This window comes from Homo sapiens, chromosome 8 (assembly GCF_000001405.40).
Source record: "Homo sapiens chromosome 8, GRCh38.p14 Primary Assembly".
Classification (NCBI taxonomy): domain Eukaryota; kingdom Metazoa; phylum Chordata; class Mammalia; order Primates; family Hominidae; genus Homo; species Homo sapiens.
This window is the reverse complement of record NC_000008.11, coordinates 53,691,821-53,712,590: the sequence shown is the minus strand read 5'-3', so window position 1 is coordinate 53,712,590 and position 20,770 is coordinate 53,691,821. Positions and strand designations below refer to the sequence as shown.

Sequence of the window (20,770 nt, the reverse complement as noted above, 5' to 3'; positions counted from 1 at the left end):
CAGGAATCGGCGAGCGGCCAACAGGCGCGCGCGCCCCGACACCCCGCACCCGCGCCCGGGCGCCCCGCTCGCCGCGCCGCCCCAACTGCACCGCGCGGCGCCCCGGGGAGACAAAGCGGACCTGCTGCTCTGCGCCCCGGCCAATCATGCTTTAATTATTATCTCGTATATTAAAATTAATTCCCTCGAGGTACGTTTTTTCCACCTTAAACCTTTACACCCAACTTACAGAGCATACAACAGTCATGAAAGGAGTCACTTTCATTTTTCCTTTGCTTATCAATGTTTTTGATTAACATTCAATGCTTAAACCCTCCTTAAACTATAATACCACCTACATGTTCAATTAAACTGCAGACACCTAATGGAGCAGACTTATAATATGACAAACCAAATCTTAGAAATTGCTTATGAGTCAAATGCAGGTAACTCGACCTAGGGATACAGGTAGTAAAAATACTGTTAAGCATTTTTAAGCATCTTTAAATCAGCCTAAACAAAGAGCCCAGTTATTACAAAATGTGTTATTACACCTGTGTAAACACAATTTACACAATGTGATCAGTATAGGATTGTTGAGTTTCATTTTCTCTATACTTATTTTGACATTTTCCTTGGTTTCATAAGTCCTCATCTAAGCAAGACCAGGACCGGGCATTTCAGGCCAGCCACGGTTAATGGAGTAAAACTGCTATGGATCACAGAACTGAGGTGACACTTTGTGGTGACCGTGTGAGGCTTTCACAGGGGCTAAACAACAAACCTTGAGACTGGCAGTCTTAGGACCTGGGTGTGACAATCCAGATGCTGGTGGGGTACATTTCTTTTTGTGGTCAGTCTCCACCTGCGCCCGCTTTATTTTTTTATTTTTTATTTTTTTTGTCAGTTGAGTTAAAAGTCCATGCTCTTCGACTGGGTTTGAATCCGTCACCTACGTGTCTCTTTTTTGCAAGCCGGTATATGAGGGAGCTTTCTAAGTTGTTGGATATTGCTCATCTCAGTGACATATAAAACCCTGAGTTAAGTATTGTATGCCTTCTCCAATAGGAGGCAATTTCTTCCCTTTCTGTCTTAAAATCCTATTGTGTCTCATTGACCCTCTGTTCTCAATTTGTCAGGAATAATGTCACTAAAAATACACTGGGAAAAAAAACAATGTAGAGTTGAGGTATTGTTTTATTGGCTTTTTTTTGTTGACGGCATAATAGGTTATACAAAGTTTACCAGTAACCAAACTAAATAAACCAATTGCTAAAATATCCAGTCTCAGCAGGTATACATAGTACCTTTTAAAAAGAAAACTTTTGATTTTTAGATTTTGAGAAGCATACAGACATTCTCATAAAAGGGAGAATGAAATTATATCTTGCTTTCTTAGAAAACTCTTATTTTGGGTCTTGTTGACTCTAATTTTTAAAAAGATGCATGTTTTAAAAAGATGCACCTCCCGTTGGCAGGTGAAGCTCATTCCCACACATCGTTCCTAGCCAGGCACAAATAGTAAATTTACAGAATGTCTCCAGTTAAAATTTTTTTCTACTTTCTATTTAGCCGCATCAGAGTAATTGGTGTTAATTTTCATATAATTAAAATTTAAATAATTTCTAACCTCTAGCTCTTAAATCTTGGAAAGCACAGATCCAAATTTTGATGCATTTGATTTATCTGAAAATTAAAAGTTCTCTGTTCTCATTCTTTGCCTTTGAAAATGAGAATATTTTAGACTAAATTTTGAAACCACTCAAAGTTGGTAGATGGCAAAGTTACTTCCCAAATACGAACCTTGTGATGAAATCTCTTTTTGGTTTGAAATTTCTCTCTTGTTTTGCTGTACAAAATGTTCTGTTCTGGTTAAGAGATGTGCCTTTAACTTTGTGAACAAATTTCCAATGAAAAAGTCAGTTGGAAAGAAGAAGGAGCTGTAAATAATTTTAAATTCCTTTAGCATTGTATGCACATCTGACACGAGTTCCCTTCTCTTTTAGTTCTTAGAGTGTTGATTACTCTTCCAAAAATAGGATAAAAGTGGAAGAAACACTTCCGTGATTGAAGGAATACTAGTCTGAGATGCTTTTATCTTTCAGTACTATGTAGACCTGTGTCTTTTTCCCTTTACAAAGGAGGAAAAAATATATCCAGGAAGTCGGTTGAAAGAACCAATCTACAAAGAACACCAAATAATAATGTTTGTAACATGTAGAAATAAAATATTTGAAACAATAGCACAAAGGTTGCATGGTGAGGCAACGAACTTCTGCTCTTGTTAAGACAGCAGATTACATTAGATAGGAAGTGATATAACAGGAATATGAAGTAGACTGTGATAAGGATATGTATTTAATTCCCTAGAGCAACCACTGAAATGATAAACAAACTGAAATTGCAAGGTATAGCTAGCTAAAGAGCCACTGATGGAGATAAAATTGAATACAAAGAATACTTGATTAACCCAAAAGAGTGCAGGAGAAGAACATGGGAGAGAGAAGACACACAGAAAATGAGTAGCAAGGAGGCTGGGCATGGTGGCTTACGCCTGTAATCCCAGCACTGTGGGAGGCTGAGATGGGTGGATCACCTGAGGTCAGGAGTTCGAGACCAGCCTGGCCAATGTGGTGAAACCCTGTCTCTACTAAAAATACAAAAATTAGCCGAGCGAGGTGGCATGTGCCTGTAATTCCAGCTACTTGGGAGGCTAAGGCATGAGAATCGCTTGAACCCAGGAGGCGGAGGTTGCAGTGAGCCAAGATCGCGCCACTGCACTCCAGCCTGGGCAACAGAACAAGACTCAGTCTCAAAAAAAAAAAAAAAAAGAAAAGAAAAGACAAAAAATAAGTAGCAACAAAGTAGACTTTAAGCCCACCAATAACAATAGCTACAGTAACTGGCAAGGATCCAGGACTCCTGCCCTTAGGCATCCAGAATTGTAAGTGTTTCAGCATGGCCACCTCCAGGAAACTCATTGTTTCTAGGTCTCAGATTTGTGGAGAGGACGTTTTCTGGCGTGCTACATGGCTTATTTCTGTCACCACTCCCAAACACCCAGCTCTTCACAGGCTGCTAATAGAGTGGAAAAAGCAGAAACCTGTTATCATTTGTTCACCAACTCTCCTGCTACCAAAATTTTCCTGAGAGCATTTGCTGTCATCTTGTTTTCTTTGTCCTCATGGGCTCATTCCTTCTGTTTTTCTTTTGTTTGTCCCACCCAACCTTTTTTAAAAAATCCCTTCTAGCCTTTCAAGTGGGGTTGCAGAGGAAGCAGAAATGAATATGTGTATTTAGTTCATCATGATTAAACTGAAATCTCAAAGGATTTTTTTGTTGTTTTTGTTGTTTTTGAGATGGAATTTCGCTCTTGCCACTCAGGCTGGAGTGCAGTGGCATGATCTCGGCTCACTGCAACCTCCACCTTCCAGATTCAAGCGATTGTCCTGCCTCAGCCTTCTGAGTAGCTGGGATTACAAGTGCCTGCCACCACGCCCAGCTAATTTTTGTATTTTTAGTAGAGATGGGGTTTTGCCATGTTGGCTAGGCTGGTCTCAAACTCCTGACCTCAGGTGATCCACACACCTCAGCCTTCCAAAGTGCTGGGATTACAGGCGTGAGCCACCGGGCCCAGCCTATAAGGTGGTATTTTTAATCATTGTTGATGTATAAGGTCCATATTAGAATAAGCATAGATTAAATTTGGGAATAAGGGGGGGCAGATGTACCAGAGTATATGGACTCGCAGTTGAAAAGATTATAAAGGCCATTCATTCCAACAATGCTTAGCATCTGCAGTTGTGAGAATTAAAATTAGTGTGAGTTGAGGATTACAAACAATTTGTAACAATTATACGTAGTTTAATATGATAATTTCATGTAGCAGGTGAATATCCTGCTTCTACTTGATTGATGCCAGCAACAGGCAACCTGTCCAGTTAGAATGTTTCTCATTTTGAACCAGCATCACTTTCTGGTAATTTTCAATATTTGAGCCAAATCCTACCTTTGGAATATAGAACAAGGTTAAATTTAACAGTCTACTTTTAAAAATGTTTATTCTAAAACCATAATTGTTAATTTTTGTCATGTAAAATATTTCTATTTCAATGCTAAATATTTTAGGTCACATTTTAGGTTAAGGTTGCATATTTAATTATCTACAGCAACCATGAAACAATAAACTGCAATTACAAGGTAAAGCTAAAGAGCCATTAGTGGAGATAAAACTGAATATGCCTTATTTTGGCATAAGGAGGTGAGGCAAATGTGTGTCATGTGATGTCAATCAGACCATGTGGCTGTGACCCGCCTCCTGAAGTGTTTGGAGAAACGATCACACAAGTGAGGTTTTGAGTTGGCTGGTTGCTGCAAAACGATCATACAACACAACGTCTGTGTGTGCTGGACTTGACCCTCTGAGGGCCAGCCCTCTGGGGGGCAGCCATGCCCTTCATTGCCCTTGAAGGAGTGGGCTTGGCTGGGCTTTGTGTGGCGCTGTCACCCAGGTTGCTCTGTGACCCTCCGTGCCAGCACTGCTGGCTGGATCCTGACCCACAGGTATCAAACAGGGCATGACCCACAGGCAGGGCCTGACCCACAGGCAGCAAACAGGAGATGCTGACTGTCGTCTCGGGTGGCCTGCTGAAAGATGCACACAGAGTGCATTTTGTATGGAGTTAATTCCCACTGGCAGAGGAGAAGGTGCTGCAGTGAAGCTTGCATGATGAAAGAAGAGACAAGCTTGTCTGGGAAAAACATTTTTGGTATTTGTAAATGGAAGGGTCAGGCCAGTTATGAAGGAGAGTGAAGTATGCAAGGTCAGAGTAGAAAGAGTTCCAAATCCTTCCTGGCCATCCAGGTAGGTTTATTCCCTTGTCAATCCACCCTTCTTTCTACAGGCCCATCTGCCCGTCCATCTGTCCATTCACTCATCCTTCCCCTGCATCATCTTATCATAGTTCTGTTTTATTGCTACTGAGACCTCAGTGCTTCAGAGACATTTCAGTGATTGTGAAGATGAACTTGTTGGTCTCCAGTCTTCTTAGGCTGATTAAAAGGTGGACTTTCTGACCTAACTCCTGAATACAGTGCTTTATCCCAGTGAGTGTCCAGTCAGCCTTGCCTGGTTGAACTGACTTCCAGGTCCCTCTCTCCAGGAGCTCTCCCCACCTGAGACAGAAACCCTGGCCTCCCAGAGCCTGCCACCCTGCCCAGAGGTGACCGGGCCTCAGTGGACCCTCTTCCAGGGACTTGCAGTTGGGATCTATTCAGAGATATAAGTCTCTGTGCTGTAATACAGCGGTCCCCAACCTTTTTGGCACCAGGGACTGGTTTTGTGGAAGACAATTTTTCCATGAACTGGCCAGGAGGGGGATGGTTTGGGACGATTCAAGCACATTACATTTATTGTACACTTTATTTCCATTGTTTTTACCTCATAATACATAATGAAATAATTACACAACTCACCATAATGTAGAATCAGTGGGAGCCCTGAGCTTGTTTTCCTGAAACTAGATGGTCTCATCTGGGGGTGATGGGAGATAGTGACAGATCATCAGGCATTAGATTCTCATAAGGAGCATGCAACCTGCATCCCTCACATACAGTTCACAATAGGGTTTGCGCTCCTGTGAGAATCTAATGCTGCCACTGAGCTGAGAGGAGGTGAGGCTCAGGCAGTAATGTGAGCAATGGGAAGTGCTTGTAAATACAGATGAAGCTTTGCTCACTCACTGCTCACCTCCTGCGGTGCAACCTGGTTCCTAACAGGCCACGGTCCGTGGTGGAGGCGGGGGTGGGGACCCCTGGTGTAATAGACTCAGGTGCTGTGGGCACCCATATTGACTTTGATACAATGTCATTCCTTATTTTGATGTAATTTCACACATGCAGAAAAGTAGCAAGAAGAGTAAGAAGAGCTCCCGTGTGCCTCCCCTTGGGCCCATGCTGGCTTTATTGCTGATGTTTTATGATAACTTGTAAGATCTGGTAGGCCCATCTCTGATAACTTTTTTCCCCTTAACACTTTTTAGAATTTTTATTTTTTGTCGGTTCCTTTTTCTAGATGAGATTTGAATTATTTTTTCAGGTCTTAAAAGATTCCATTGAGATTTTGATGCGATTTATTTTAATCTGTACATTAATTTGGGAAGATTTTTATAGTACCAACTTTTCCCATCCAAAAAAATTGAATGTGTCTTCATTTAGTCAATGTGTCTGAAGTTATTGGAGTTTCAGCATATAAATTCCATGAATTCTTGTTAAAGTGATTTCTACTTGTATTTTAATTTTTTTGTCGTTGTGAAAGGAGTTTTCAATATATTTTCTAACCACTATTGCTAGCATATAGGAACATTATTTATAATTATATATAAATAGTTATCCTGTATCTAGTCATTTTTCCATATTATTATTAACTTTAACAGTTTTTAGTCTTTTTTTTTCTGGGTATACAATTACATATTCTATAAGTAATGACAGTTTCATTTCCTTTCCAATAGGAATGCAATTCACTTCTGTTTTATGTTAGTAACAGAGAGATCTAGGCTCAGTAAGCTCTGCCTCATACTGTGAATTCGATATTATCAGATTTGTTTAGACTTCAGCTTCATTGACTGTAAAATAGAAAAATGACAGTACCTATGTCATAGAGTTGTGAAGGTTAAGGAACACTCTGTACATAAATAACAAGCACTTAAAATGTTCCTTATTAGTTATCGTATTGGTCTGAATTCACAGGACATTGCTGCTTAGTGGGGCATCTTTTGTGGCGCTTAATTTTAAAGGTGATGCCCGTGGTGTTTCACTCTTATGCAAGATACAACTGTCGGTCTGAGATATTTATGTGAAGGAGAGATACAGCTGCTCCTGGTCTACTTTGAGTTGAGTTTTCTCCCCATCAGTGATAGATGTTGAATTATCTCCATGCCCTTGTGGCATCTATTGAAATAATTCTGTAGACGTTCATATTTGACTTATCGATGTAATCTCCTAAGGTGACCTCCAAATTAATCTATGAGTTTCCTAATACTAAGATACCTTTACAATTGTTGAATAAATTATATTTGCTCATGGAAAATTATTATTATAATATACAAATAAATTCTGTTCATATTTTCAAATCCTTAATCTATGATTAGTTTATTGTCAATGCCTCTCAGCTTTGGCCACTTGCCCATTTATTTTATTTTATGTTTTACTCTTTTGAGACATGGTCTTGCTCTGCTGCCAAGGCTGGAGTGCAGTGGCACAATCATAGCTCACCACAGTTTCAAACTCCTGGGCTCATGCAATCCTCCTGCCTCAGCTTTCTGAGTAGCTAGGATGACAGGTGTGTACCACCATGCCTGGCTAATTTTTAAAAATTTTGTTGTAGAAATAGGGTCTTGCTGTATTGCCCAGGCTAGTCTCAAACTCCTGGCCTCAAGCTATCCTCCTTCCACAGCCTCCCAAAGCACTGGGGTTACAGGCGTGAATCACTGCACCTGGCCAATCTGCATTGTACTTAATAACTATAACTTTTATGTCCTTATCCAAGTAGTTGATTAAAATACCAGACCATGAACATATAAATAGATGAAGGGAACCCAAATATTCAGGTTAGAACTTCAATTCTATGATTCATCTCACTTTTTATTGTACAATTCATTATTGGTAAGGCTATAGTAAACAGAATCGGAATTTGGGGTTTGTTATAACAGCTTTGGCCTGCAGAGTATTTAGTGTTGAGTGATGAGGTCTAGTCCTCTAAGTCTTACAAAAGTGTATCCTTTAAGATACTTTTGGTTGCAAGCAGTAGGAAACTTGACTGAAAATAACTTAAAGACAATACCTGAGTCCCCTACAAGAAGCCCAGGTATGTCAGTCTCTGGACTCTCAGTTGGGCCCACAGCCCTGTGACTGCGTGCTGCAGCCAACTCCCCTCTGGCCCAGACACCAGATTTCAGCCTCTCTCCATGTCTTTTATCTACAGGTCCCTACAGGAAACCACTTGCTTCTCATGGGTGGAAAGCAGTGCACAGTCAATGGCAGGGCAGTGAGGTTAAATAGGAAGGCCTTGCACACTTTTACAGTTGGTGGGTTAGTCTGTTTTGTGTTACCATCAAGTAATATCTGAGGCTGGGTAATTTATAAAGAGAAGAGTTTTGTTTGACTCTGAGTTCTGCAGTCTGTACAGGCAAATTCTGCAGGCACCAGCATCATCTTGGCTTTTGGTGAGGCCTCAGGAAGCTTTTACTCTTGGTGGAAGGCAAACAGGGACCAGGTGTGTCACATGGCAAGAGAGAGAAGAGGAGGTGTCAGACTCCTTTTAACAATCAGCCCTCGTGGTAACTAATAGAGCAAGAACTCACTTATTACCAAGAGGACAGCACCATCCCATTCCTGAGGGACCCATCGTCCCCCCGACCCAGACACCTTCCACCGGGCCCACCTCTAACACTGGGGATCACATTTCAACGTGAGATTTGAGGGGGACACACATTCAAACCATATCAGTCAGGATCTGGTCAAGCACCACCTTCCTCTGAAGCAGGTGGAGGAGCAGAGGTGTCTGAACGTAGCAGGGTTCCACCGGCAAAGAATCCCAAGGCAGCAGAGCTGGATCCAGAAGCCCCTCTGACTCTGGGGTGGCGCAGAGGGCAACCTCCCAGAGACCTTGGAGGACTGGAAGGAACCGGAGCCTCTGTCAGGGTTCTGCATGAGGCCTGGATTGGGATGTACACCATTGCCAGTGTAAGAAAAGCACCAAAACAATCCCTACTTAAAGGGAATGCCATTGTGCTCTCCAGCCCTTCTCCAGCAAGCCTATGTTGGCAGCAAGTCAGATGAAATCGCTATTCTGTAGAGATGCTTATTATCATTCAGTACATGCTGTATTCATCTCGGGCAAGAAATCCCATGGGATTTTCAGTGTGAGTCTGCCTGTTTGGCTCTGTTGGGCTCCCCTAAAGTACCTCCTCTGTTTCTCTGTCGGGGTGGCTTGTTGGGGAGCCAGGGGTTAGGAGAGTGATGTGTGGGTGTCCAGGAGGAAGGTGCTCTGGAAGGAGAGCCCTGCAATGGGCATGGGTCCAGCATATCAGCTCACCCTGAAGATGACTGCACCTGCCCTGGGCCTTGGAAGACTGAGTCCCTTTGTGAGCACAGTCAGAAGCTGATGTTGGTGCCCTAGAAGCAGATTCCATAGGCCCTGCCTGCTTTTCCTAAGCCTGTCACAAACAGGCGGCCCCAAGAAGGGTGCTCCTTGAATGCCCCTGCTGGGCGGGGGCTGCGTGTCTCCAGGCTGGAGGCTTTGTTTTTTAAAATGCTAGTCTGAACTTTTGAAGTCTTTTACAAAATGCACTTAAATGAGGAAAATCGGTTCCCAGGTTTCTGGGAAGCAACTCAGTGGTACATTTCAGGCTAGAGGAATATAACCCATCAATGTTAAATGTTTCACTGGACTAGGCTCTTAACATTCTTTTCTGCAAAGAGGACACATACTGTCCTTGGCAGGTGTGACTCCAGTGGCTTCCTCAAGGACAATCCCCCCATCACTGGCCTGGATTCCATTCTAGAATGCTCATTTCGCACCACTGTGAGCACAGCATGGGGAAAGAGGGGACACCAGATGGAGGCAAATATTATTAGAGATAAAGAGAGAGATAGACCCTGGTACAATAATATCTGGAGACTTCAACACCCCACTTTCAGCATTAGACAGATTGCAAATACAGAAATTTGACAAAGAAGCATCAGCTTCTTAATATGCAATATTAGGTCCATTTGGTCTATAGTGCAGATGAAAAAACATCAGATGCTGTTTCTTATTCTGCACTATAGACCAGATGGACCTAATAGATATTTACAGAACATTTCATCCAATAACTGCAGAATACACATTCTTCTCCTGAGCATATGGACCATTCTCAATGACAGACCACATGTCAGGCCACAAAACAAGTCTTAAGACATTCAGAGAAACTGAAGTTCATATCAAGTATCTTCTCTGACCTCAATGGGATAAAAGTAGAAATCATAAAAAAAGGCCAGGTGCAGTGGCTCACACCTGTAATCCCAGCAGTTTGGGAGGCCAAGGTGGTTGGATCACTTGAGGTCAGGAGTTTGAGACCAGCCTGGCCAATGTGGTGAAACCCTGTCTCTACTAAAAATACAAAAATTAGCCAGGTGTGATCATGGGCACCTGAAATCCCATCTACTCGGGAGGCTGAGGTAGAAGAATTGCTTGAGCCTGGGAGGCAGAGGTTGCAGTTAGCTGAGATCATGCCACTGCACTCCAGCCTGGGTGATAGAGTGAGACTCTGTCCAAAAAAAAAAAAAAAAAAAAAAAGGAAAAGAGAAAAAGAAACTTGGGAAACTCCACAAACAGTATGCTCCTGAATGACCAAAGGGTCAATAAAGAAATTAAGAAGGAAATTTAAAAATTTCTTAAAACAAAGGAAAATGGAAACGCAACATACCAAACCCTGTGGGATACAGCAAAAGCAGTAATAAGAGGAAAGTTTATAGCAATAAGTGCCTACATCAAAAAGCAGAAAAACTTCAAATAAACAACGTAACAATACCTCTTAAAGAATTAGAAAAGCAAGAGCAAATTAAACCCAAAATTAGTGGAAAAAAAGAAATAGTAAAGACGAGAATAGAAATAAATGAAATTGAAATGAAATAAACCCAAAAGATGAATAAAATGAAAAGTTGTTTTTTTGAAAAGATAAAATGGACAAACCTTTAGCCAGACCAAGAAAAAAAGAGAGAATACCCAAATGAAATCAGACATGAAAAATGAGACATTACAATGGATGCCACAGAAATTCAAAGGATCATCAGAGACTACTATGAGCAACTATATGCCAATACATTGGAAAACCTGGAAAAATGGATAAACTCCTAGACACATACAATCTTCAAGACTGAATCAAGAAGAAATTTAAAACTTGAACAGACCAATAACAAGTAATGAGATTGGAGCCATAATAAAAAGTCTCTCAGCAAAGAAAGGCCTGGGACCTGATGGCTTCATTGCCAAATTTTACCAAACATTTAAAGAAGAACTAATACCAATTTTCTGCAAACTATTCCAAAAAACAGAGGAGGAGAGAATATTTCTAAACTCACTCTCGGAGGCCAGTATTACCCTGATAACAAAACCAGACAAAGACACATCAAAAAACAAAAACAATGACAAAAAACAAACAAAAAAGCAAAACAAAAAAATGGAATTACAAGCCAATATCCCTAATGAAAATTGATATAAAAGTCCTCAAAAAAATCCCAGCAAACTGAATCAACAACACATTAATAAGTTCATTCATCATGACCAAGTGGGATTTATCCCAGAAATGCAGGAATGGTTCAACATACACAAATCAATCAGTGTGATACATTGTACTAACAGAATGAAGGACAAAAACTATATGATCATTTCAGTTGATGCTGAAAAAGCATTTGATAAAACTCATTATAAAAACCCTTGGGGCGGTTCCAAGATGGCCAAATAGGAACAGCTCCAGTCTACAGCTCCCAGTATGAGCGACGCAGAAGATGGGTGATTTCTGCATTTCCAACAGGTACTGGGTTTATCTCACTGGGGCTTGTCGGACAGTGGGTGCAGGACAGTGGGTGAGGTGCACCCAGCGTGAAGCAGGGCGAGGCATCGGAGGATCCCACGCCCATGGAGCCTCGCTCATTGCTAGCACAGCATTCTGAGATGGAACTGCAAGGCAGCAGCAAGGCTGGGGGAGGGGCACCCGCTATTGCTGAGGCTTGAGCAGGTAAACAAAGCGGCCAGGAAGCTCGAACTGAGTGGAGCTCACCGCAGCCCAAGGAGGCCTGCCTGCCTCTTTAGACTCCACCTCTGGGGGCAGGGCATAGCTGAACAAAAGGTGCAGAAACTTCTGCAGACTTAAATGTCCCTGTCTGACAGCTTTGAAGAGAGTAGTGGTTCTCCCAGCATGGAGTTTGAGATCTGAGAATTGACAGACTGCCTCTTCGAGTGGGTCCCTGATTCCCAAGTAGCCTAAATGGGAGGCACCCCCCAGTAGGGGCAGACTGACACCTCACACGGCTGGGTACCCCTGTGAGATGAAACTTCCAGAGGAACGATCAGGCAGGAACATTTGCTGTTCAACAATATTCGCTATTTTGCAGCCTCTGCTGCTGATACCCAGGCAAACAGGGTCTGGAGTAGACCTCCAGCAAACTCCAACACACCTGCAGCTGAGGGTCATGACTGTTAGAAGGAAAACTAACAAACAGAAAGGACATCCACACCAAAACCCCATCTGTATATCACCATCATCAAAGACCAAAGGTAGATAAAAACACAAAGATGGGGAAAAAACAGAGCAGAAAAGCTGAAAATTCTAAAAATCCGAGCAACTCTCCCCCTCCAAAGGAATGCAGCTCCTCACCAGCAATGGAACAAAGCTGGACGGAGAATGACTTTGAAGAGTTGAGAGAAGAAGGCTTCAGATGACCAATCTTCTCTGAGCTAAAGGAAGAAGTTCAAACCCATTGCAAAGAAGCTAAAAACCTTGGGAAAAGATTAGACAAATGGCTAAGTAGAATAACCAGAGTAGAGAAGTCCTTAAATGACCTGATGGAGCTGAAAACCACGGCACGAGAACAACGTGACAAATGCACAAGCTTCAGTAGCCGATTCGATCAACTGGAAGGAAGGGTATCAGTGAATGAAGATCAAATGAATGAAATGAAGGGAGAAGAGAAGATTAGAGAAAAAAGAGTAAAAAGAAATGAACAAAGCCTCCAAGAAATATGGTAATATGTGAAAAGACCAAATCTACATCTGACTGGTGTACCTGAAAGTGACGGGGAGAATGGAACCAAGTTGGAAAACACTCTGCAGGATATTATCCAGGAGACCTTCCCCAACCTAGCAAGGCAGGCCAACATTCAAATTCAGGAAATACAGAGAATGCCACAAAGATACTCCTCAGGAAGAGCAACTCCAAGACACATAATTGTCAGATTCACCAAAGTTGAAATGAAGGAAAAAATGTTAAGGGCAGCCAGAGAGAAAGGTCGGGTTACCCTCAAAGGGAAGCCCATCAGACTAACAGTGGATCTCTTGGCAGAAACTCTACAAGCCAGAAGAGAGTGGGGGCCAATATTCAACATTCTTAAAGAAAAGAATTTTCAACCCAGAATTTCATATCCAGCCAAACTAAGCTTCAGAAGTGAAGGAGAAATAAAATCCTTTACAGACAAGCAAATGCTGAGAGATTTTGTCACCACCAGGCCTGCCCTACAAGAGCTCCTGAAGGAAGCACTAAACATGGAAAGGAACAAGCGGTACCAGCCACTGCAAAAACATGCCAAACTGTAAAGACCATCACTGCTAGGAAGAAACTGCATCAACTAACGAGCAAAATAACCAGCTAACATCATAATGACAGGATCAAATTCACATATAACAATATTAACCTTCAATGTAAATGGCTAAATGCTCCAATTAAAAGACACAGACTGGCAAATTGGATAAAGAGTCAAGACCCATCAGTGTGCTGTATTCAGGAGACCCATCTCCCATGCAGAGACACACATAGGCTCAAAATAAAGGGATGGAGGAAGATCTACCAAGCAAATGGAAAACAAAAAAAGGCAGGAGTTGCAATCCTAGTCTCTGATAAAACAGACTTTAAACCAACAAAGATCAAAAGAGACAAAGAAGGCCATTACATAATGGTAAAGGGATCAATTCAACAGGAAGAGCTAACTATCCTAAATATATATGCACCCAGTACAGGAGCACCCAGATTCATAAAGCAAGTCCTTAGAGACTTACTAAGAGAATTAGACTCCCACACAATAATAATGGGAGACTTTAACACCCCACTGTCAACATTAGACAGATCCACGAGACAGAAAGTTAAAAAGGATATGCAGGAATTGAACTCAGTTCTGCACCAAGCGGACCTAATAGACATCTACAGAACTCTCCACCCAAAATCAACAGAATATACATTATTCTCAGCACCACATCGCACTTATTCCAAAATTGACCACATAGTTGGAAGTAAAGCACTCCTTAGCAAATGTAAAAGAACAGAAATTATAACAAACTGTCTCTCAGACCACAATGCAATCAAACTAGAACTCAGGATAAAGAAACTCACTCAAAACCACTCAACTACATGGAAACTGAACAACCTGCTCCTGAATGATTACTGCATACATAAAGAAATGAAGGCAGAAATAAAGATGTTCTTTGAAACCAACGAGAAAAAAGACACAACATACCAGAATCTCTGGGACACATTCAAAGCAGTGTGTAGAGGGAAATTTATAGCACTAAATGCCCACAAGAGAAAGCAGGAAAGATCTAAAATTGACACCCTAACATCACAATTGAAAGAACTAGAGAAGCAAGAGCAAACACATTCAAAAGCTAACAGAAGGGAAGAAATAACTAAGATCAGAGCAGAACTGAAGGAAATAGAGACACAAAAAACCCTTCAAAAAATCAGTGAATCCAGGAGCTGGTTTTTCGAAAAGATCAACAAAATTGATAGACTGCTAGCAAGACTAATAAAGAAGAAAAGAGAGAAGAATCAAATAGATGCAATAAAAAATGATAAAGGGGTATCACCACTGATCTCACAGAAATACAAACTACCATCAGAGAATACTATAAACACCTCTATGCAAATAAACTAGAAAATCTAGAAGACATGGATAAATTCCGGGACACATACACCCTCCCAAGACTAAACCAGGAAGAAGTTGAATCTCTGAATAGACCAATAACAGGCTCTGAAATTGAGGCAATGATTAATATCCTACCAACCAAAAAAGTCTAGGACCAGACAGATTCACAGCTGAATTCTACCAGAGGTACAAAGAGGAGCTGGTACCATTCCTTCTGAAATTATTCCAATCAATAGAAAAAGAGGGAATCCTCCCTAACTCATTTGATGAGGCCAGCATCATCCTGATACCAAAGCCTGGCAGAGACACAACAAAATAAGAGAATTTTAGACCAATATCCCTGATGAACATCGATGCAAAAATCCTCAATAAAATTCTGGCAAACCGAATCCAGCAGCACATCAAAAAGCTTATCCACCATGATCAAGTGGGCTTCATCCCTGGGATGCAAGGCTGGTTCAACATATGCAAATCAATAAACGTAATCCAGCATATAAACAGAACCAAAGACAAAAACCACATGATTATCTCAATAGATGCAGAAAAGGCCTTTGACAAAATTCAACAGTCCTTCATGCTAAAAATTCTCAATCAACTAGGTATTGATGGGACATATCTCAAAATAATAAGAACTATTTATGACAAACCCACAGCCAATATCACACTGAATGGGCAAAAACTGGAAGCATTCCCTCTGAAAACTGGCACAAGTCAGGGATGCCCTCTCTCACCACTCCTATTCAACATAGTGTTGGAAGTTCTGGCCAGGGCAATCAGGCAGGAGAAAGAAATAAAGGGTATTCAATTAGGAAAAGAGGAAGTCAAATTGTCCCTGTTTGCAGATGACATGACTGTATATTTAGAAAACCCCATCTTCTCAGCCCAAAATCTCCTTAAGCTGATAAGCAACTTCAGCAAAGTCTCAGGATACAAAATCAATGTGCAAAAATCACAAGCATTCTTATACACCAATAACAGACAAAAAGAAAGCCAAATCATGAGTGAACTCCTATTCACAATTACTTCAAAGAGAATAAAATACCTAGGAATCCAACTTACAACGGATGTGAAGGACCTCTTCAAGAACTGCAAACCACTGCTCAATGAAATAAAAGAGGACACAAACAAATGGAAGAACATTCTGTGTTGATGGATAGGAAGAATTAACATCATGAAAATGGCCATACTGCCCAAGGTAATTTATAGATTCAGTGCTATCCCCATCAAGCTACCAAGACTTTCTTCACAGAATTGGAAAAAAGTACTTTAAAGTTCATATGGAACCAAAACAGACCCCGCATTGTCAAGACAATCCTAAGCCAGAAGAACAAAGCTGGAGGCGTCATGCTACCTGACTTCAAACTATACTACAAGGCTACAGTAACCAAAACAGCATGGTACTGGTACCAAAACAGAGATATAGACCAATGGAACAGAACAGAGCCTTCAGAAATAACACCACACATCTACAACCATCTGATCTTTGACAAACCTGACAAAAACAAGCAATGGGGAAAGGATTCCCTATTTAATAAATGCTGTTGGGAAAACTGGCAGCCAAATGTAGAAAGCTGAAACTGGATCCCTTCCTTACACCTTATACAAAAATTAATTCAAGATGGATTAAAGACTTACATGTTAGACCTAAAACCACAAAAACCCTAGAAGAAAACCTAGGCAATACCATTCAGGACATAGGTATGGGCAAGGACTTCATGACTAAAACACGAAAAGCAATGGCAACAAAAGCCAAAACTGACAAATGGGATCTAATTAAACTAAAGAGCTTCTGCACAGCAAAAGAAACTACCATCAGAGTGAACAGGCAACCTACAAAATGGGAGAAAATTTTCCCAACCTACTCATCTGACAAAGGGCTAATATCCAGAATCTACAATGAACTCAAACAAATTTACAAGAAAAAAAGAAACAACCCCATCAAAAGTGGGTGAAGGACATGAACAAACACTTCTTAAAAGAAGACATTTATGCAGCCAAAAAACACATGAAAAAATGCTCATCATCACTGGCCATCAGAGAAATGCAAATCAAAACCACAATGAGATACCATCTCACACCAGTTAGAATGGAAATCATTAAAAAGTCAGGAAACAACAGGTGCTGGAGAGGATGTGGAGAAATAGGAACACTTTTACACTGTTGGTGGGACTGTAAACTAGTTCAACCATTGTGGAGGTCAGTGTGGCGATTCCTCAGGGATCTAGAACTAGAAATACCATTTGACCCAGCCATCCCATTACTGGGTATATACCCAAAGGACTATAAATCATGCTGCTATAAAGACACACGCACACATATGTTTATTGCGGCACTATTCACAATAGCAAAGACTTGGAACCAACCCAAATGTCCAACAATGATAGACTGGATTAAGAAAATGTGGCACATATACACCATGGAATACTATGCAGCCATAAAAAAGGATGAGTTCATGTCCTTTGTAGGGACATGGATGAAATTGGAAACCATCATTCTCAGTAAACTATCACAAGAACAAAAAACCAAACACTGCATATTCTCACTGATAGGTGGGAATTGAACAATGAGATCACATGGACACAGGAAGGGGAACATCACACTCTGGGGACTGCTGTGGGGTGGGGGGAGGGGGGAGGGATAGCATTGGGAGATATACCTAATGCTAGATGACGAGTTACTGGGTGCAGCGCACCAGCATGGCACATGTATACATATGTAACTAACCTGCACAATGTGCACATGTACCCTAAAACTTAAAGTATAATTTAAAAAAAAATTTAAAAAAAGATGTTTCTAATAATTTCTGAATATTTGTCAAATCATATATTAAAGTTACCAAAAAATAAAAAAAAATAATAAAAAAAAAGAACTTAAACAAATTTACAAGAAAAAGTCAAACAACCCCATCAAAAAGTAGGCCAAGCATATGAACAGACACTTCTGAAAAGAAGACATTTATGCAGCCAACAGACATATGAAAAAATGCTTATCATCACTGGCCATCAGAGAAATGCAAATCAAAACCACAATGAGATACCATCTCAGACCAGTTAGAATGGCGATCATTAAAAAGTCAGGAAACAACAGGTGCTGGAGAGGATGTGGAGAAATAGGAACACTTTTACACTGTTGGTGGGACTGTAAACTAGTTCAACCATTGTGGAAGACAGTGTGGTGATTCCTTCAAGATCTAGAACTAGAAATACCGTTTGACCCAGCCATCCCATTACTGGGTACATACCCAGTGGATTATAAATCAAGCTGCTATAAAGACACATGCACATGTATGTTTATTGCGGCACTATTCACAATAGCAAAGACTTGGAACCAACCCAGATGTCCAACAATGATAGACTGGATTAAGAAAATGTGGCACATATACACCATGGAATACCATGCAGCCATAAAAAATGATGAGTTCATGTCCTTTGTAGGGACATGCATGAAGCTGGAAACCATCATTCTCAGCAAACTATCGCAAGGTCAGAAAACCAAACATCGCATGTTCTCACTCATAGGTGGGAATTGAACAATGAGAACACTTGGACACAGGGTGGGGAACATCACACACTGGGGCCTCTTGTGGGGTCGGGGGAGGGGGGAGGGATAGCATTAGGAGATATACCTAAGGTAAATGACAAGTTAACGGGTGCAGCACACCAACATGGCACATGTATACATATGTAACAAACCTCACGTTGTGCACATGTACCCTAGAACTTAAAGTATAATAAAACAAAAACAAATCAAATGCATTTATTTCTGCTAATTAGAAATTGAAATGTAAGAGTGTAAAAAGATGAAATACTCAACAAAATTCAACAAAATAGATGCAAAACCTGTACATTGAAAACCATAAAACATTGCTGAGAGAAATTAAAGAAGATGAAATAAATGAAGAGAGATATTATATCATGATCATGGATTGGAAGATGCAGTATGTTTAAGATGTCAATTCTCCCCAATTAATCCATAGATTCAATACAATCTCGGTAGAAATGCATTTTTTTAAAAGAAACTGACAAGCTGATTTAAAAATTTATGTGGAGGCCAGGTGTGGTGGCTCATGCCTGTAATCCCAACACTTTGCGAGGCCGCGGCAGGAGGATCACTTGAAGTCAGGAGTTCGAGACCAGCCTGGCCAACATGGTGAAACCCCATTTCTACTGAAAATACAAAGATTAGCTGGGCATGGTGGTGTGCACCTGTAATCCCAGCTACTCGGGAGGCTGAGGCATGAAAGTCTCTTGAACCTGGGAGGCGGAGGTTGCAGTGAGCCGAGATTGCACCACTGCACTCCAGCTTTGGCAAGGAAGCAAGATTCTGTCAAAAAAAAAAAAAAAAAAATTCAGACAATCATAGATCAGTTTTCAAGAATTGTGTTCTGACTTTGTGTTCTAAGGTCCTCACTTTGCTTGGAAGGAGGAAATAAATGTTGCTTAACTTTTGAGTTTTATGTTAAATATTCATGGTGACATATTTAGGGTAATTCTTAAAATAAAAATAAGAGAAAACCAAGCCATGACTGTCGAGGTCAGATAGAGAGAAGCTGAAATTCCAGCTCCCCCGCCCATCAGCTTTGAGACCTGGTCCCCACAACGTGTTCCAATAAGACAGGGCTGGTGACGGCCAGGCAGGAGGAGTTAGCTCAGAGCCTGGCGCATGCGCAGGGAGCGCTGGTCCTTGGCCGCTTCTCCGGGCCCCCCCTGCGGTGCTCTCTGCTGGGCTCCTTCCTGAGCTGCCAAGGCCCTTCCAGGATTTTCTAGTAAATGAAGGAGAGTGCTGATCCTCTGAGCCTTGCACAAGTTTACTCTCCGATGGTGTGTGTGTGTGCGTGTGTGTGTCTGCACGCCTGTCCCTGTCCTCCAGGCCTGACTGTCCAGGCGGGCGGGCAGGCCCTCCGAGCAGGTCTCCTCACAGAGTGTGCACGCCGGACTGTTGAGAGGCCTCGTATTTCCAGGCCTCGCACGATCCTACACGCAGTAGTCGCTTAGTAAATATTGGTGGTTTTTATGAGATGTGTATCTGCAAATCAGCCCTCGGGAAGGATTCTGGAGGATTTGGAAATAAGAAAAAAGAGTCGAAGTGCACAAAACAGTTGGGTTTCTATTTAAATAGGTTTTAAAAAGGAAAACCTGACTTAGCCTTTAAATAGAGTGAGTGCAAGGTGCCTTGAGTTGCTTAGTAACCTCACACTGTTCTATTTATACAAGTGTATTGCACAGGAACTTGTGGTTCCGTTTAATTCCTTTAGGATGGAGAACATTTCCCAGGGATTCTGAGTTTATTCAGAGTGAAGAGCTTGACTGATGCAAAGGGGTGTTAAAAATTAACATGAAATTAATTTAAAAAATTGTTTGGAAATAATTTCAAGTTTGCAAAAAACAAAAACAGTACAAAGAACCTTTATACATAGATTCACCTTTTAAAAATATTTTACTCCATTTGCTTAATTATTATTTGCACATTCTGTCTCTTCTCTCTCTCCTTCCCTCCACACGAATTTTTTTTTCCTAAACCATTTAATGGTGACCTTTTAGCCCTAAATATTACAATGTGTATTTCCTAAGAATAGAACTGTTCTCTTACGTAACCACAGTACAATGATCAACTAAATAAGTCTGTATTTACTTTTATCTGATTTACTGTCCGTATCTAAGTTTTTTAGTTTGACTTAATATCCCTTATAGCAATATTTCCCCTTCAGTACCGGAGTTAGATTATGATTGGGTATTCCATCCTCAGAAATTCACACTTAATAGATTTGGTCTGAGGCCCAGGAATCCGTTTTTTTTTTTTTTAATTTTATTTTTCCAGAAGCTTCCTAGATAATTATGATTATGAGAGGTTCAGGGACACAAGGTGAGATATGCTGCCTGTGTGGCCAGGGTCACGGGCACCATCCTGATGAAGGCCAACCTGTCTGCAGCAGCCAGAGGACAGGCAGAAGAGCAGGGGGATGATGGCTGAAAGCTGTCCACTGCCTCTGTACAGGTTCATTTCCACCTTCGGAATCCCCTAGCCTGAGTTGTTGGGTCCAGCTTTGCAAGACACAGACTTACTGCTGGTGGGTTTGTGGCATCACCTTTGATAAGCAGTGCCACCATGATAGCTGCTT

At 41.3% G+C, this 20,770-nt stretch overlaps 3 annotated features.

Annotated features, from left to right (window-relative positions):
* Positions 11,651–12,152: an enhancer, noted in NCBI's record as "H3K4me1 hESC enhancer chr8:54612999-54613500 (GRCh37/hg19 assembly coordinates)". NCBI's record gives its function as "activates a minimal SCP1, AML or CMV promoter by ChIP-STARR-seq in primed H9 embryonic stem cells {active_cell/tissue: H9 hESC(primed)}" and the evidence as "EXISTENCE:reporter gene assay evidence [ECO:0000049][PMID:30033119]".
* Positions 19,048–19,556: an enhancer, noted in NCBI's record as "H3K27ac-H3K4me1 hESC enhancer chr8:54605595-54606103 (GRCh37/hg19 assembly coordinates)". NCBI's record gives its function as "activates a minimal SCP1, AML or CMV promoter by ChIP-STARR-seq in naive H9 embryonic stem cells {active_cell/tissue: H9 hESC(naive)}" and the evidence as "EXISTENCE:reporter gene assay evidence [ECO:0000049][PMID:30033119]".
* Positions 19,557–20,067: an enhancer, noted in NCBI's record as "H3K27ac-H3K4me1 hESC enhancer chr8:54605084-54605594 (GRCh37/hg19 assembly coordinates)". NCBI's record gives its function as "activates a minimal SCP1, AML or CMV promoter by ChIP-STARR-seq in naive H9 embryonic stem cells {active_cell/tissue: H9 hESC(naive)}" and the evidence as "EXISTENCE:reporter gene assay evidence [ECO:0000049][PMID:30033119]".